General features: G+C 56.1%; 1 protein-coding gene and 3 long non-coding RNA genes across 5 annotated transcripts in view; 2 read left to right on the plus strand and 2 right to left on the minus strand.

Moving 5' to 3' along the window:
• Positions 1-12,725, minus strand: TBC1D26-AS1 (TBC1D26 antisense RNA 1). Its single transcript, XR_001753084.3, has 5 exons — positions 12,577-12,725; positions 5,436-5,523; positions 4,694-4,809; positions 2,962-3,897; positions 1-71 (listed from the first exon to the last, which is right to left on the minus strand). It is a non-coding gene; the product is annotated as a TBC1D26 antisense RNA 1 (long non-coding RNA).
• ZNF286A-TBC1D26 (ZNF286A-TBC1D26 readthrough (NMD candidate)) overlaps positions 1-15,139 on the plus strand; it is a 46,414-nt gene extending 31,275 nt beyond the window's left edge. Inside the window, exons 7-23 of the long non-coding RNA NR_171000.1 lie at positions 3,016-3,062; positions 3,707-3,848; positions 3,943-4,044; positions 4,322-4,397; positions 4,571-4,653; positions 6,458-6,497; positions 6,971-7,051; positions 7,254-7,361; positions 7,695-7,804; positions 9,074-9,122; positions 10,096-10,195; positions 10,916-11,010; positions 11,388-11,453; positions 11,883-11,982; positions 12,341-12,490; positions 13,217-13,426; positions 15,052-15,139. This is a non-coding gene — a long non-coding RNA (ZNF286A-TBC1D26 readthrough (NMD candidate)). The remainder of the gene's footprint in view (positions 1-3,015; positions 3,063-3,706; positions 3,849-3,942; positions 4,045-4,321; positions 4,398-4,570; positions 4,654-6,457; positions 6,498-6,970; positions 7,052-7,253; positions 7,362-7,694; positions 7,805-9,073; positions 9,123-10,095; positions 10,196-10,915; positions 11,011-11,387; positions 11,454-11,882; positions 11,983-12,340; positions 12,491-13,216; positions 13,427-15,051) is intronic.
• On the plus strand, positions 1,251-13,758 carry TBC1D26 (TBC1 domain family member 26). Of its 2 annotated transcripts, none has more exon segments than NM_178571.4 (15): positions 1,251-1,358; positions 3,904-4,044; positions 4,322-4,397; positions 4,571-4,653; positions 6,458-6,497; positions 6,971-7,051; positions 7,254-7,361; positions 7,695-7,804; positions 9,074-9,122; positions 10,096-10,215; positions 10,916-11,010; positions 11,388-11,453; positions 11,883-11,982; positions 12,341-12,490; positions 13,217-13,758. In NM_178571.4, coding segments are annotated over 9 exon segments (753 nt in total). In that variant the 5' UTR covers positions 1,251-1,358; positions 3,904-4,044; position 4,322; the 3' UTR covers positions 11,003-11,010; positions 11,388-11,453; positions 11,883-11,982; positions 12,341-12,490; positions 13,217-13,758.
• The window catches only part of LOC105371559 (uncharacterized), a 19,961-nt gene continuing 17,643 nt past the window's right edge, over positions 13,612-15,929 (minus strand). Inside the window, exons 3-4 of the long non-coding RNA XR_934269.3 lie at positions 15,653-15,741; positions 13,612-13,694 (exon numbers count right to left, since the gene is read on the minus strand). This is a non-coding gene — a long non-coding RNA (uncharacterized LOC105371559). The remainder of the gene's footprint in view (positions 13,695-15,652; positions 15,742-15,929) is intronic.

Consider the following 15,929-nt stretch of genomic DNA (forward strand, 5'->3'; position numbering starts at 1 on the left):
ATGGATTCTGTGACCATCTTCCTCTCCTCATTGACTCTGCCAGAAGGGGATTCCTGGTGGGGCAAGGGTAGCTGGTGGGAAATGAGGTACCGGGAAATTAGCAAAGGGTCTTCTGGCCATCTGGGGACAGTTCTCATGTGGTCCCCAGCCCAGTCTCGAGGGTTCTGGGCCGGTCACCCTGCAGCCTCGGTGCTGCGCCTCTGGATCCAGCCTCCGCAGGAAGAACCCTGGGAGACCCAGCAAAACGGGGTGCCTGGTCTGACAAACGTCCCCCCGTTCCTCTGGCTCTGCGGCTCAGGAATAGGCCGAGACATCATGTCCAGGCAGTGCCAGGCCACCTCACTGCCCCCTTTGAGGTGAGCACAGAGGGCTTTTGGGGGCGAGCATGAAGCTGGGCACCCAGAGCCTGAGGCCGACTGTCCCTCCCTGTGTCCTGGAGTGGGGGCCTTGACCCGAGAAGACCCCCAGGGGATGGCCTGTGGGTGCTGATGCGGGGAGGGGAGGTCTGTGGACTGAGGGGGGTCATTGGCAGGGGACATTGAGCACCGCGGCTCAGGGTTCTGCTCAGTGGGGTCAGTGGGAACGTGGTCAGTGAAGGCCTGGTCAGTGGGGGCCTGGTCAGTGGGGGTCTGGCTGGCAGAAGCCTGGCCAGGTGGCGGCTAGGTGACTTCAGGCAGGGTTTGTCCTTGGAGCCTCCTTGCCGCCATCTGTAGTGGGAATGAGTCATGGCACTCCGGAGGGCTGCTGGGAAGAGGAGGTGAGCAGGTGTGTGGAATCCAGCCCTGCCAAACAGATCTAGCACTTTACAGCCTAGCTGAGTCCCCTGCTAGGGAGGGGACCTGCCCTTTGCCTTTTGCCCCCAACCCTCAACCTTCTGCCCCCTATCTTCCATCTGCAATCCCAGGAATGCCCTGGATGGGGAGGTCTGAGTTTAGGGAGCACCCGTGGATGCTCTGATGATGGCCATGGGTCCCGAGGGGGGAGAAAGTGACAAGGGTGACCCAGTGTCCTGGGTGCACATATGAGTGGGGCAGCCGGGCCTAGCCAGAGCAGTGACAAACGCATGCACACATGGGTTCACCCACATACACGTGCATGCTTACATGCACAAACACTGCACACACGCACGTTGACACTTCAAGGGGTGGAGGGTGCTGGCTCTGGTCCCGGCTGACCCAGGCAGGGGCCCATTGTGATGGGTGTCATGACCTCACAATGTCACTGGTGCTGAGCACTCGCCCACCTGTCCACTTGCCGTCTCTATGTCTGGAGCTCTTAGAGATAAGACATAGAGGTGTCTGGTTCTGAGAAAAGGAAGTTTTGCTAAGTGAGAGACACAACTGACTCAACTGACTCAGGTGAGTGTGACCTGCTCTGTTCCTTCCCTGCTGACCTGGGTACAGTCATTACCTGGTGGGCAGGGCTAGCCTCTGGGCAGGTGCCGAGGAGGGTCATCCCTGAGCACTCACCAGGTGCCTGTTCTGCACTGACCTGGTGGACTCTGTGGGGTGGGTGCTGTCCCCGAATGTACCCATTCCACAAGTGAGATGTCTAGGGTCAGAGAGGAGGTGACTGGCCAAGAGACCCAGATGTGATCCTGGGCTGTGCTCTCAGCCCTGCCCTGTGCATGCCCTGGTCTCTGTGGCCCTAGATTCCAAATCTGCCCAGGGTTTTCTGGCCCCTGATGGGGCAGAGTCTGGCCCTGAAAGAGCCACTGGGATGGAACTCCTATGGGTGTGGTGGAGGGAGGTGGTGCTCGGTCCAAGTCTGTGCCCTAAGCTGGGTGTCTGCAGGAGGAGGTCTCACCAACTCAGACTTCACGTGCGGTCACTGAGGGTCTCCGTGGGACCCAGTGGACACATGGGGTCCCTTGTCTGGGAGTAGGGAGCCCTCCGCCTGTGGGCAGTTGTGGTAGAGGACCTTGAACACTGCTGCTCTGGGGCCTGGGCAGGGAGGACTTGGACAGTGGGGACCTGGTCAGGAAGGCCTGGTCACTGGGGGACTGGTCAGCGAGGACATGGTCAGTGGGGAATTGGTCATCAGGGGCCTGGTCAGCAGAGGCTTGGCCACTGGGGCTTAGTCAGTGAAAAACTGGTCAGTGGGGACATGGTCAGTTGGAGCCTGGTCATCAGGGGCCTGATCAGTGAGGACCTAGTCAGAAGGCCTGGTCACTGGGAAAACGGTCAGTGAAAGCCTGGCCGGCAGGGGTCTGGTTAGTGGGGGCCTGGCCAGATGGTTGCTTGGTGACCTCAGGCACGGGGTTTGTCCTTAGAGCCTCCTTGCCTCCATCCATAGCAGAAATGAGTCATGGCACCCTGGAAGGCTACTGGGAGGAGGAGGTGAAAAAATGTGTGGAATCCGACCTTGCCACTCACACCCAGCATTTTACAGTCTAGCTGAGTTCCCCCTAATGAGGGGCCCTGTCCTGTGCCCTCTACCCCCTAGCCCCCATCTGCATCTTCAGGACTGCCCCGTGTGGGGAGTTCTGAGGTTGGGGAGGACCCATGGATGCTCTGATGCTGGCCACAGGCCTCAAGGGAAGGTGACGCTGATTAAGACTTGATGAGCACTTGGGTGCACATGTAAGTGGGACAGCCAGCCCTGGCCAGAGACGCTGCTCGTGCACACACATGTTCACCCACATAAACGTACATGCTCACCTGCACAAACACATTTTGACACCTTAGGGGCTGGAGGACACCGACTCTGGGCCCACTTGACCTGGGCAATGGCCCATTATGATGGGTGCCATGACCTCAAAATGTCACTGGTGCTGAGTGACCGCCCACCTGCCCACCCACTCACCTCTGTGTTGTGCAGCACTTGCACATAAGACGCACACAGGTGTCTGGTTCTGTGGTGCATGAACGACTTTTCTAAGTGAGAGACACAGCAGCCTGAGCAGACTCAGGTGAGTGACCTCTGGGCAGATGCCGAGGAGGGTCACCCCTGAGCACTCACCGGGTGCATGTTCTGCACTGACGGCGTGGACCATCCTCTCCTTTGTCCTCACAGAAACTCTGTGGCGATGGGTGCTGTCCCCAAATGTAGCCATTCCACAGGTGAGATGTGTAGAGTCAGAGAGGCGGTGACTGGCCCAGAGACCCAGATGTGACCCGGGCCGTGCACTCAGCCCTACCCTTTGCCATGCTGGACTTGAGCTTTGACCGCTGAGGCCTCTCTACCCTAGATTCCAAATCTTCCTTGAGTTCTGGAATTCAATGAGGCAGGGTCTGGTCCTGGAAGAGCCACTGGGACAGAGCCCCTGTGGGTGGGGTGGAGGGTGAAATTCTTGGTCCAAGTCTGTGCCCTAAGCTTGGTCCCCACAGGAGGAGGTCTCACCAACTCAGACCTAAAGTGCGATCACTGATGGTTGCTGTGGGACCCACTGGACACATGGGGTCCTTCATCTAGGAGTGCGGTGGGGAGCCCTCTGCCCTCAGGCAGTTGTGGAAAATGAAGGAGCCCTGGAGGGCTGCCTGGAGGGTGACAATCGTCTCTCCTGGTCAAAGAGCCTTGGGGACTGGAACCCTCCTGCAGCGTCCCATTCTCTCTGTCTGGTCCTCTAGAGGCCTTGCCTTCCGTTTGCCCCGAGTATTCCTGGGGGGGGACGGTTCCCCCAGGTGTTCTCTAGGACTAAGGCCCCAGCGTTCTCTTGTTCTTTCTTGGTGACCCAGGAAAACAAAGTCCCCTCCTGTATTGACAGCTGGGAATTGTGGTGTCCACCGTCCTCGACCTGCGACGGGGTCTCCATGAGCACAGAGGCTGCTCTGGAGTCAATAGATCATCTTTTCCCCAAACCAAACTGCTTGGCTGGCGTTGTTCCTGAAGCGGCTTCACTGGCCAGAGTGAGTGAGAATTGGGGTAGAACGGAGCAGTCACCAGATGTCTTGCTTCCTACAGAAAACTGATTATATTCCTGGTCCCTGAACGATCCTATAGAGACATCCAGTCCCTGACTCCACCTGCCTCCAGGTGCCCAGAACAGCCCATCGTGGGGACTTCACCCTCAGCAAGTGGACGCCGTTTGTCCTGCCAGGGCAGGTGTGTGTCTGCCTTGGGGTGTTCAGGGACAATAGGCCTCTCTGTCCAGGTTCCCGTGTGCTCAAATCCTCAGGAAGGAGCCCACCACTGGTTGGAGGCAAGGACTTCAGAGATCTAGTCAGGGGTGGGACCACTGAGTCTGGCCCCTGTCATCTGGGAGGGGTAGTGGAATGGGGCTCACCAGACTGGAGTGTGTCTGGGAGTGCAGTGCGTGTGGTTTGGCTGTTCTCTGGAGCTCTTGGGTGCGGGAGAGCCTTGGGATGACTTTGTCTTGCAGGATGGAGATGGATGGGGACCCGTATAACCTGCCTGCCCAGGGGCAAGGCAATATCATCATTACTAAGTATGAGCAGGTACAAGTTGGGCCGCTCCCTCAAGGGAAGCAGGGCCTCGCCTCTCCCGCTGTGCCCTGGTCACAGGGTCCTGGGCTTCCTAAGATCACAGGGTGGGGAGGGGCTGCCCACCTCCCTGGGCCTCCCACACCTCTCACCTTACCCCCACTATCCTGGCCTCCTCTGGGTTTCAGGGACACCGAGCTGGGGCAGCAGTGGACTTGGGGCATGAGCAGGTTGATGTCAGAAAATACACCAATAACCTCGGGATTGTGCAGTAAGTCCTCTGTCCCCCCGACCCCAGCCACCAATCTCACCTCAGGGATGGGTTTTGTTTTTAGAAAGGCCTCTCTGAAGCAGGACATGTCTCCCTGGCTGGGCCAACCTCCTCTCCAGGGTCAGAACTCCTCCCAGGCTCTCCTGTCGGTCCAGCCTGTGGTCAGGGTTAGGGCACAGCCTCATGACACATTTAGGGAGCTCAGGAGAGGGGGTAGGGACAGAGAGGGGACTAGAGCAGGCCCGTGGGCTCTCAGCACTGTGGTCTCCAAGTAAGCTGGAGAGGAGGGGCAGCCTGAGGATCTGGCCCTGTTCCCTTGGGGCCTGCCTTGGTGAGATCTGAGGGTTGTGGCCACAGGGCAAGAGGGCACCTGGCCTGGCCTCTGGGCAGTTGTATAGCAGATCTCTGAGGGCTCAGGGGGCTCAGCCATGAGGAAGGGGCATAGGGACAGTGAGGGCCTTGGCCCTGGCCCTGGTAGGTTGTGGAAGAAGGGCAGGGCCCTGGCCTGGGCTTCTCACTGAGGCCAGGGGGACAACAGAGCATGCAACTGAAGGCCCCGGGAGTGGTGCAGGGAAGGGACCTGGGCCTGGTAATGGGAGCCCAGCCTGAAGCCGGCCCCTCAGGACTCACAGGATGGAGAGAGGGAGGAGCCTGGGGGAGGGGGGCAGGGTGAGCCCCTGAGACCTGCCACTTCTGGAAGGCACCTGAACCAAGCCAGACCCGGGTGGAGCTGACAGCCTGGGGAGGACAACAGATGGGGTGGGCAGGGAACAGTGGCTCACCTGGGACCCCTCAGTGGGGGAACTTGGTCAGTCCCCAAGGCTCTGCATGGCCCTCCAGAGATTCTGCTTCCCGCTGGCTCAATCAACACTGCGCAGGGTGGATGGAGGGGCCAAGTCAGGGCAGGCAGGACAGTAGGGGAGGACAGCCAAGCATCCCATGTCCTGGTTTTTGCAGTGGCTGGGAGGAGGCTGAGGGCTGAAGGCCAATGACCCTGAGAGCCAGCTGAGGCTGGAGCAGGAGTGCTGGGGCCAGCCCCACTGCCTGCAGGGCCCTTGGTCATCCTTGCTGCCCTGGGTGTCTCCCCAGCAGTGCTGGGCAGCCCAGTCAGAGAGTGGCCAAGGCGTGGGTGTGGACGGATCTGGGAGGTCTCACTCAGAGGTTCTGAAAGGACAAGGGTCACAGAAGGGCCAGGGTGGCCGGAGAGAGGGTCATAGTGTCTGGGCTGGGCAGGATGGGGGAAGATGGGGAGCAGGCAGGGTGAGCGGCCAGGATGCAGGGAGAGGCAGGTGCACGCTGGGAGGTCAGACCTTGCAAGGCCCATGGGGAGTGTCAGATGGGATGGGCTCCAGGTGCATCCTCAGGGCACTGGGCAGCTCTCAGGCCAGGCTCCCTGGACTCTGGTGGGTGATGTGGTCACTCCTGAGGTACTGCTGTTAGTCAGGGCTTGGCCACCCACCCTGGGTGGCACCCATCCCATCTCAGAACTGGACTTTCTTAGCGTCCACAGAGGGTGTCACCTCCAGCCCAGGTGGAGCAGCACCATTGTGCAGCCCAAGGCACCCCACGGGCTTCAAGTGTCCCCCCCACCCAGGGCCAGCTTTGAGCTTCTTCTTCTCCAAGGTCCCAGTGCCTTGCTAGTGTCAGATCCGCAGGGAGGCCCTTGCCTTCCTTCTCTGTGCCTTGTCCCAGGCTGAGACTTAGGGTGGATGGGGGTAGGCTGGTCCTTCCCTGGGGCCCTCTCAGGGAGAGGGATGGCTCCTGGCCTGGGCAGGTCCTCAGCTCTGCCTGGGTTGCCTTACAGTGAGATGGAGCTGCCCCACGTCAGTGCCCTGGAGGTGAAGGTAAGAGCCTGTGCCTGCTGCGTGGGAGGCTGCTTCAGGGACTGGGAATCGGGTGGTCGGTAAGGCAGAGGGGGTGGCCTGTGGGCCTGTGTGGTGGTGAGTGGGCCACGGCTGTCACTGGGAGGGGTGGCCTTTCCTGCTGGACTCTGTTCCCATGAGGACTTGACCAAAACCCAAACCAAGAACTGCAGTCCTGGCTCAGAGTCCACTGCCTGTTTGAACCAAGACCCCAGCTGAAGGCTGGACCTGACCAAAACTTGGGGCATTTATGGCCTGAGGATGGCATGTCATGGCATCACCATTCCAGACTACCAGCTCCAGTTCCTTCAGAGGGTCTCAGCCCCTGGGGCCTGCCCTTTCCTGGCTTCTTCAAGTTGGGTCCCTTCAGGGCCCCAAAGCCCTGGACCCAGCATCCACGGGCCACTGTCAGACGCCTGGCAGCTCCGCTAACTCCATCATGGCTCATTTGACAGCAAAGACGCAAGGAAAGTAAACGTACCAACAAGTGGCAAAAGATGCTTGCAGACTGGACAAAATATAGGAGCACCAAGAAGGTAACATGGGGAGGAAGTGGCCCGCGTGACTGCTCTCTGCAGAGCCAGGAGACAGGCACCCATGGTTGTGACCTGGCACCGTCTGCCTCTCAGTGGGTGGGTGGTACCCCATCCTTGCCATAGGACTGCAGGCCTGTTCGCCAGCTTTGCTCTGCGGGGTCGCCCCATGTCCTTTCTCACTGGAGTGTTCTTCTGTCTGTAGCTGTCTCAAAGAGTATACAAAGTCATTCCCCTGGCGGTACGGGGCCGGGCGTGGTCACTTTTGCTAGATATTGACAGAATCAAGTCCCAGAACCCAGGCAAATATAAGGTAAGTCCCTCCCACACTCAGCTAGGAGTACAAACAAGCTAGACTGTATCAGGAGCCCAGGACTCCAGCTGGAGGGAACGTTGAGCCTGGGTTGGGAGTGGGGGCTGTGGTCAGACGCACATCCTGGGCATAGATGGTAACTCAGGCACCACAGGTGCGCTGGGCTCTGCTGACCCTCCCTGGTGTCAGAAACAAGGTAAAAAGGAGCTTTCTGCAGAAGGAAACCTTCCTTCCTTCCTTCCAGAAGTGCTGACTGTGGGATGACTGCCGTTTGGGGCAGGGAGTCTTTTGTCTGTTCTGAGGCTGCTTCCTCCTCTTGGCCCTGCCCTACAGGTCATGAAGGAGAAGGGCAAGAGGTCCTCCAGAATCATCCACTGCATCCAGCTAGATGTCAGCCACACCCTGCAGAAACACATGATGTTCATACAAAGATTCGGAGTCAAGTAAGGCCAATGGGGCTTGCAGGGGTCCCAGGGAAGATGGGGCAATCCAGAGGAATGAGGTTGTCCCCAGGGCAGAGGCCAGGGTCACCCAGGAGAGGTGACAGAGCCACCAAGGGCTCTCCTGGCCCAGGGAGCAGCCGGCACCATGGACTGAGCATCTCCCGGCTCTAAGCTCTGGGCCGGGCTGGGACATGTAGGGCCAGAACCCAGGTGACTCCCAAGGAGACGGAAGGCAGAAAAAAAAAGAGTCATGCAGATGGTGAAAAGTGCTCTCCATGACCCACAACTATCCAGGATAGGGACCCATGGGAAGGTGGCACGATGGCAGGGCTTGGGAGCCTTCCCAGGCAACACTGACTGCCCAAAATACTAGAAAGGATGCGGGGCCCCGGAAACTCTCATCCATGGCTGGTGGGAACGTGACAGGGCACAGCCATTTTGTAAGTCACATGGGCTGTGGCTCACAAAGCTCAGTGGCCTCGTACCACACATCCCCAAAGTGTGACAGATATTGGCCACACTGATTTGAAAACTGACGTCCAAGTAAAACCCGCATGTGACGTTCACCGCTTGATTGATTGTAACTCACACCCGGAGGCTACGGAGATGATCTTCAACATGGGAACTAGGGAGGAAGGGGGTTCCACTCTTCAGACAGAGGCGACTCAGTGAGGAAAAGGAACGAACCCCCAATGCCCGCAGGAACATGGGTGGATCTTAGATGAGTATTGCTGAGGGAATGACGCCAGACCCAACAGGCTACCACCATGGGATTCCAATTCATTGGCCATTCTGGGAAAGGGCAAACCATAGAGACAGAGAACAGATCAGGATGGCCAGGGGCTGACAGAGCCGGGAGACGTTGGCTGCAAAGGGGACGTGCTGGGGACTTGGAAGATGAAGGAGCCGCTCTGGGAGGGGCTGCAGTGGTGGACGGGAGGCTCTGCACATTAGTTCAGAACCGTGGAACTGCACGTCCCAAAGACTGGACTTCTGTGTGTGCAAACTGAGAAAAAGGGGAAGAAAAAATCAACCAGAGTGAAAAATGATCACTGATCCAACTGTACACCTACGACATTGCATTGCAAGGAATGTGGATTTTACTGAAAAAAAATTCCTAAAAACTCAGGTGTCCTAAAGAGCTCACTGCTTATTTGGGGGGATCATCTGAACCCAGAATTGTGTTCGTTATTTGGGTTTGTAGACAAAATGAAATTGACAGCGTCTGCACACACACAAAAAAAAAACCCTCTTTCCCCTCTTTTCTAGGCAGCAGGAATTATGTGACATCCTCGTGGCCTATTCTGCATATAACCCTGTGAGTATTCCCGGGCAGCGATATTCCTGGGACATGTGCCCATATTCACAGGCATGGGTGTCTCTTGGGGGTGTTGCAACTTCTTGAAAATTCAGTGTTTGTCCACCAGGACGTAGTAGGCAGGACTTCAGCTCGCTGCTGGCAGAAAAGGGCTGAAGCCCAGACTCCTGGTGTCACATGGACCCAATCACCACGTCTCAGATGAAGAAACGACCTTCCCCTCCTGGTGTTGCCCCAAAGCCTAGGAGCTTGGCAGGGTCCCACACAGGATGGTCCTTGTAGGAGACAGGTTTGACAAGTTGCTGAGGTGCCTGATGGGCCAGGCACTTGTCATGAAATGAGTTTGCATCCTGGGGGAGCCTCTTCTTCACTGGAAACCTGGCAAGGATCCAATTTCCCCTTTGCCTGAACCCCATAGGAGCATAGCAGATAGGGAGGGGGGTCACCCAGGTGGCTGTTCCTGCTTGGCCCCCACTTTCCAGACCATTCCAGGCAGGGAGAGCTGCTGAGCTGACTGCATGAGCTGCCCACATGGAGGACCCAGCCACCCCTTATGTCCGGCAGGCAGCCCTTGGGCTGTTGCAGGACCTTTTGTGTGGTGGTCAGCGCCCCGCTGCCTGCCCTCGTGGCAGGTGCAGTTCACAGGTGCTGCCCCAGGCCTGGCACAGTGGCCTCCCCAGCCTGGCCCAGGGGAGGGAGCATGAACAATCCCTGACTGTGCCCTTTCGGGCCATGTGAGCTTGGACACTTGCTGCAGGAGTCCCCCCATGCTCCTTGTCAACTGAGTTGTGCGTGACCTGCTCAGTCCTCATGTCCAGTGCCAGGGGAGGGGTGCAGAGGCTGCACCTCAAATCCCCTGGGGCCTGAGGCAGGTGTCCCCAAAGACCTGTGCCACCTCTGGTGACATAAGTCCTCCCAGGTGGCCTCAGTCCTCCTAGGTGACATCTTTCCACGGTGACTCTGGCTCTTGCAGGAGGTGGGCTACCACAGGGACCTGAGCCGCATCACTGCCATCCTCCTCCTGTGTCTGCCAGAGGAAGATGCTTTCTGGGCGCTTACCCAGTTGCTCGCTGGTGAGAGGCACTCCCTGTGGGTAGGTGGACAGCTGCCCCCGGGGCCTTACACAGCCATGCCAGGGGACAGCCACCCTGGCCGGTGACCCTGACTTCCAGGCAAGGTGCCTGCCTTGTATCCCAGCTTGTTTGGAGCCTCCAGGATGTCCCTGCTGAGGTCCTACAGCAGCCTGGGTCTGGACAGGAACCCCCTCACCTCAAGTCAGACGGCTTTCATCCCTAACATCAGAGGGCATGGATACCTCCCCCTGGCTGCCCTCTGTCGTCCGAAGCCAGCCCCAACTTTGTGCAGGCACCACTCACCTCCCTGAGTGTCTTCCTGCCTCCCAGCTGGCTGTGCTCCCAGCCACCCTCCCTCCCTACAGATGGGCCAACAAAGCCAAGATGGAAGTGTCTGCCCATCCCATGTCCCCCAGCCTGACCCCCACATCCAAGAGATAGCCACATAGCCCCCAGCTCCCACCCTGTTCTCCCCGCTGGCGCCTGCCTTGTGGTGTCAAATGCAGGCTGCCCTCCTGGCACCTGGACCCAGGAGGCCGCTAGGCAGTGCCTCCAGCCAGGGACCTCCTCCCCAGGGCTGAGGCTACATGCTGGGGTCACCACATGGGAGGGAGGGAGGCCTCGGGGTCTGGGGTCCCCTGCCCTGCCCAGCTCTTCCAGCTGATGCCTCCACATTTTGGGCGTGGGGTCTGATGGGGTGATGGGTCGCGGGCTTCTCAGTATTCTACAGCCCAAATACTGCCTGGCTCGAGAGGCTCCTATCGCACCAGGAGCAGGTGCTGCACAAGTCCTTCCCAAAGATCATGAGACACCTGGTGAGTGGATGACACCCTCAGCTCCTAACCAGACGCCCTGGCCCCCATAGGCCAGGGGAGGCTCAAGTCCCTCATGGGGCTGGCAAGAGGCTGAGTCCCAGCCACGGCCTGACCTGGGATGGGGATTCCCCATGGATTCAGCGTTGGGTTTCCTTTTCCTGCCCTGGCAAAGGCAGAGGCGCTGGGACCAGGGCCGAGCTGCAGCTGAGCAGGGCTAAAAGAAGTGTGTCCACCGGGCGTCCGTGCATGGGGCAGGTGTTGGAGCCCTGGCCACCGCCCTGGGTTGTGCCATTAAGGAAGGTCTGCAGAGGGGCCTGGAAGTGGGAGGATTTCAGGGCAGCCCAGGGGGCCCTGAGCACGTGTGCTCCTCCCTTCAGGGCAAGGAAGGGCTGTGCATTGAGGGTTCCATGCTGACGAGGCTCCTCCGGTGTTTCCTTGATGGGGTAAGGAGGCACAGGGAGACCCCAGCCCTGGGACTCTCCTGCCCTGCAGTGCCCAGCTTCCTCAGCTCAGGGGTCCAGCTCCCCCAGGAGGACAGGCTCACAAGCCAGGCTCTGCCCAAGAGGGGGCATCCCATGGCAGAGGCCAGGGCTCAGGCCCAGCCTCATGGGCAGACTGGGGCAGGACCCGACTTGCGAGGGCCCAGGGAAGCCCAAGTCCTCAGGAAGCCCTCTTTCCAGAAGCCACAGCGCAGTTGAGATGAGTCCCTCACAAGGAGCTACAGGACCTTGTCTGACTCAGTCTTTTGGGGGTCTCATCCCATGGAGAGGGGTCCCCAGCACTCCAGGGGCCTGAAACCCCAGTGGGCTCTGCTCAGGCCACTGGCCCCAGCTTGGAAAGGCCAGGTTCTCCCACACTTGCTGTCCCCACAGAAATCCTTCGGGCTCACCCTGAGACTGTGGGATGTGTTCATCTTGGAGGGCGCGCGGGTACTGACAGCCATGGTGCATGCATCATTCAAAATACACAGGAGTAAGTCCCGTGTGCCCGAGGGTGCTTGGGGGAACATGTGGGACAGACCCCGGCTGGCCTGAGGGAAGTGTCCTTACACTGCCTGCTCCATCCGGGTTGGGGGGTCTGGCCTGCTGGGCTGGGCAAGTCATGATGACACTGAGTCCATCCCCCACATGACCCAGATGAAAATCAGGAGTGTGGTGAGCACTTCCCTGCCCTGCCTTCCCCAACTGTAGCCTCCTGTGCACAGCTGAACCCCAGGGTGGCCAAAAAGGACCAGACACCACCCAGTGGGAGGTGGGCCTGGTAGAAATGGGGTGCAGGCACTGTCCCCTCCCAGGGAACCCTCCTGGCCTGATGCCCGCCCTCTCCCTAGAGCACCTCATGAAGCTTTCCTGGAGCACTGTCTGGGAGTTTCAGGAGCGACTCTCTCAGAGCTGGGCCCTGGAGGACAACGCGGTCCTCAGGAACCTTCAAACCTCTATGAAGGAACTCACAAAAAAACACTGGGACCTGCCACCCCCAGGTGGGCTCTAGCACCAGGTACCCTCTGGAGTCACCCTCTGGGGCAGTCAATGGTGGGGAGTGCCGTGGCCCCGCCAGCCCTCCTACCTGGTCTTCCTCCTGCACCTCTTCTTCCTCCTCTTCCTCCTCTACTCCAAGAAAGTCAGATGGGTCTGCCAGTCCTCAGGGCGCCGTGGCTCACACCTGTAATCCTAGCACTTTGGGAGGCCAGGTGGGTGGATTACGAGGTCAGGAGATCCAGACAATCCTGGCTAACACGGTGAAACCCCGTCTCTACTAAAAGTACAAAAAATTAGCTGGGCGTGGTAGCAGGCGCCTGTAGTCCCCAGCTACTCAGGAGGCTGAGGCAGGAGAATGGCGTGAACCCAGGAGGCGGGACTTGCAGTCAGCCGAGATCACACCACTGCACTCCAACCTGGGCGACAGAGCGAGGCTCTGTCAAATAAAAGAAAAGTCAGATAACAAAGGTTTGCCACAGAGGCATCTAAAAAAGTAGGGGGCTGAACTATTCAGAACTCAGAGGCTTCAGATTCGAAGATGAGGCCAAGCAGGAGACTCCTGACCCACTGAGGGCAAGGGAAATATGTGGGGTTGCTGGGAGAAGATGTCATAAAGGTCCACCCCCACCTCGTGGTATGTCACAGAACCATACACTTGTATAGCTGTGCACATCTTCTCTCCACTGATTATAGTATTTCTTTCCATTTGTGACTCTCCAATCACGCAGGGAGCTTGCTACAAAATGCACATTGCTATACCATAGCCTGGGGCTTGCAATCCAAGGCTGGCAAGGATTCCTGCACGTCAAGGGCCTCAGGTGACTTTCATGCACACCCAAGTCAGAAGGCTCTCCTGAATCCTGGATGTCACCTTCCTGCCCAAAAAAGGAGGAACGAGGGTCAACCAGCAGCAGACCAGTCACAAAAAGAGATGAAATGTGAGTGCATGGCCTTCCTGACACCCAGACAAAACTTTGGGCACAAAGCCAGGCTGCAGCTCTGGCCACTGACTTGGACCAGGGATGCCCCCATGCAGGCCGGTGTGCCCTGGCTGCTCTTGACACCCTCTGGCTCCTGACACCCTCTCTTCGGCTGCCTGCGTTAGGAAGGGAGAACCTGCCAGTTTTCAGAAGAAAATGTAGCTTTATTATAACATAGGAAAGACTGCAAGTTATTACGGGAGGAGGAGGAGGCCTGAAACAGCTCCTGAAAATGAGAGGGAAAAGGAAGGTGTAAATATGTTGGTAATAAAATCTCCAACCACAGCATAGTCATGGGAATGTTTTTGTTACAATTTTTGTTCTCAAGGTTATAGTAAACAAAACAGTCACTTGAATTGTCAAAAGAGCAGCAGTTTTGCACAATGAAAAGCATACACACCAAGCCAGAATACAATAGCACTCAGGTCTATATGTTGCAGTGGTCCTAGTGCCAGAGGAAACCTCCAGGGAGTTTGTAGTGACCCTCCAGGGAGCCCAGGCCCATGGAGGGCCCTGGGGCTGGAGGGAGGCCAGCAAACCACTCAGCTCAAAGCACTCCCTTCAGGCACCTGAAGAGGGAAAGCCCATGTGTCTTCCTGTGAAGCACTGAATGGGCAGCTGGCATCTCAGAAATGCAGGCGATTTTTCATACACTGGTGTGAATGAGTCTGGGGCACCCAGGGGGTCCCGCAGTGGTCAGACACACTTTGAAACAATCAACACATACACAGGAGGTTACTAGGAAACAGGAAAAATGTTTTCCTGAATTTCATAGCAGATTGGGAGCTAAAGGAAGAGATTCCCAAGCCCATCATGGAAATATTTTAACAAAGTAAATTCACAAGAGCACATCAAACACAAAACCTAATGCAAGGGGCAGTGCCCAGGGCCACTGCCTGCCTCCGGTGAGAAGTTCTTTAGCAGCAGTCACAGGGCAATGCTTAGAAAGGCAATGCCACAGTGAATAAGGGGGATTAACTTGGATCCAAAAGTGTAGGATAATGCCCACCAAGAACGCACGTGGCTCCATCTCTCTTCCCAGTTCTAATGTTCTCAGAGCAGCAGCCACCCCTGAACACAAGGGGAGACAGGAAAGGGCCCAGGGGTGTGGGGATTTATTCCTGGTTTCTTTATTAATTTCCACTGGTCTGTGTGTCTGTTTTTATGCCAGTCCATTGCTGTTTTGATTGCTATAGTTCTGTAGTATAACTTGAAGTCAGGTAATGTGATGCCTCCAATTTTGTTCCTTTTGCTTACGGTAGCTTTGGCTATTTTGGGTCTTTTGTGGTTTGTTTGGATTATTTTTTCTACTTCTGTGAAGAATATCATTGGTATTTTGACAGGGATTGCATTGAATCTGTAGATTGCTTTGGGTAGTATAGACATTTTAACAATATTGATTCTTCCGATCTATGAACATGGAATATATGTCAATTGTGTGTGTTCTCTTCAATTTCCTGCATCAGTGCTTTATGGTTTTCTTTGTAGAGATTTTTCACTTCTTTGGTTAAGTTTATTCCTAAGTGTTTTGTTTTATTTATATCTATTATTAATGGGATTTCTTTTTTAATTTCTTTTTTTAGATTGTTCACTGTTGGCATAGAGGAATACTACTGATTTTCGTATGTTAATTTTGTATCCTGCAACTTAACTAAATTTGTTTAACTATTCTAATAGTTTTCTGGTGGAGTCTTTAGGTTTCTCCAAATAGAAGATTGTATCATCTGCAAACAAAGAGAATTTGAGGTTTTCCTTTCCAAGTTGGATGCAGGGCTGTTATTTTATTTCAGGCCATTTTCCAAGCTCAATGGTTTTTGTCAGAATTCAGTTCCTGTAGTTACAGGACTGAAGATTCTGGTTTCTTTTTGCCTGTCAATGGAGAGTTGTTCTCAACTCCTAGAGGCTGCCCACCATTCTATGGCACGCAGCCTTCCCCACAGCATGGTAATTGTTTACCATGGAAGAAAATCTTAGAAGAAATCTTCATATCACCTACCATACAGTTCCCTCTAAATTTCAAATGTTCATATTTTCCCTAAAGGCAAAATATATTTACTCCCTCTCAAAGATTTCATCTCATCATCAGCTCAAATCCAAAGTATTATTATCTAAATCATATCATCTAATCACCTCAAAGTCCAAAATGGCCCCTAAACATCATAAACTTGAAGTTCAAAATCTTACCTTCTAAACGTTCTAAATCAGGTGCAGATGGGTACAAATCATTTAGTGCAGCTCCTGGGGGTACACTTTCAACTTGTGGACCTGTGAAGCTAAAGAAACAAGTTATTTTCTCTGACAATCTGTTTGGGTGAGCAGACCCAACACCAGATCTTGGGGGTTAGGGCTACAAAGTCTGGCAGAGTTAAAGGAATGAGACAAGAGTACATAGGTTGGGTCCAGGGGGCCAATGCTAGTATGGAGGCTGCAAAGGCTCTGATCTCCGGGAGCCCACACTATT

The sequence above is a fragment of the Homo sapiens genome, chromosome 17 (assembly GCF_000001405.40).
Source record: "Homo sapiens chromosome 17, GRCh38.p14 Primary Assembly".
Taxonomy (NCBI): domain Eukaryota; kingdom Metazoa; phylum Chordata; class Mammalia; order Primates; family Hominidae; genus Homo; species Homo sapiens.

Excerpts from the sequence above, each read along its gene's own strand:
- TBC1D26 (NM_001388465.1), top strand. The coding sequence starts at position 4,323 with ATGGAGATGGATGGGGACCCGTATAACCTGCCTGCCCAGGGGCAAGGC. Across the intron at positions 11,011-11,387 it reads CAAAGATCATGAGACACCTG|GGCAAGGAAGGGCTGTGCAT; the intron begins GTGAGTGGATGA and ends TCCTCCCTTCAG. Across the intron at positions 12,491-13,216 it reads CTGGGACCTGCCACCCCCAG|GGAGCTTGCTACAAAATGCA; the intron begins GTGGGCTCTAGC and ends CCAATCACGCAG.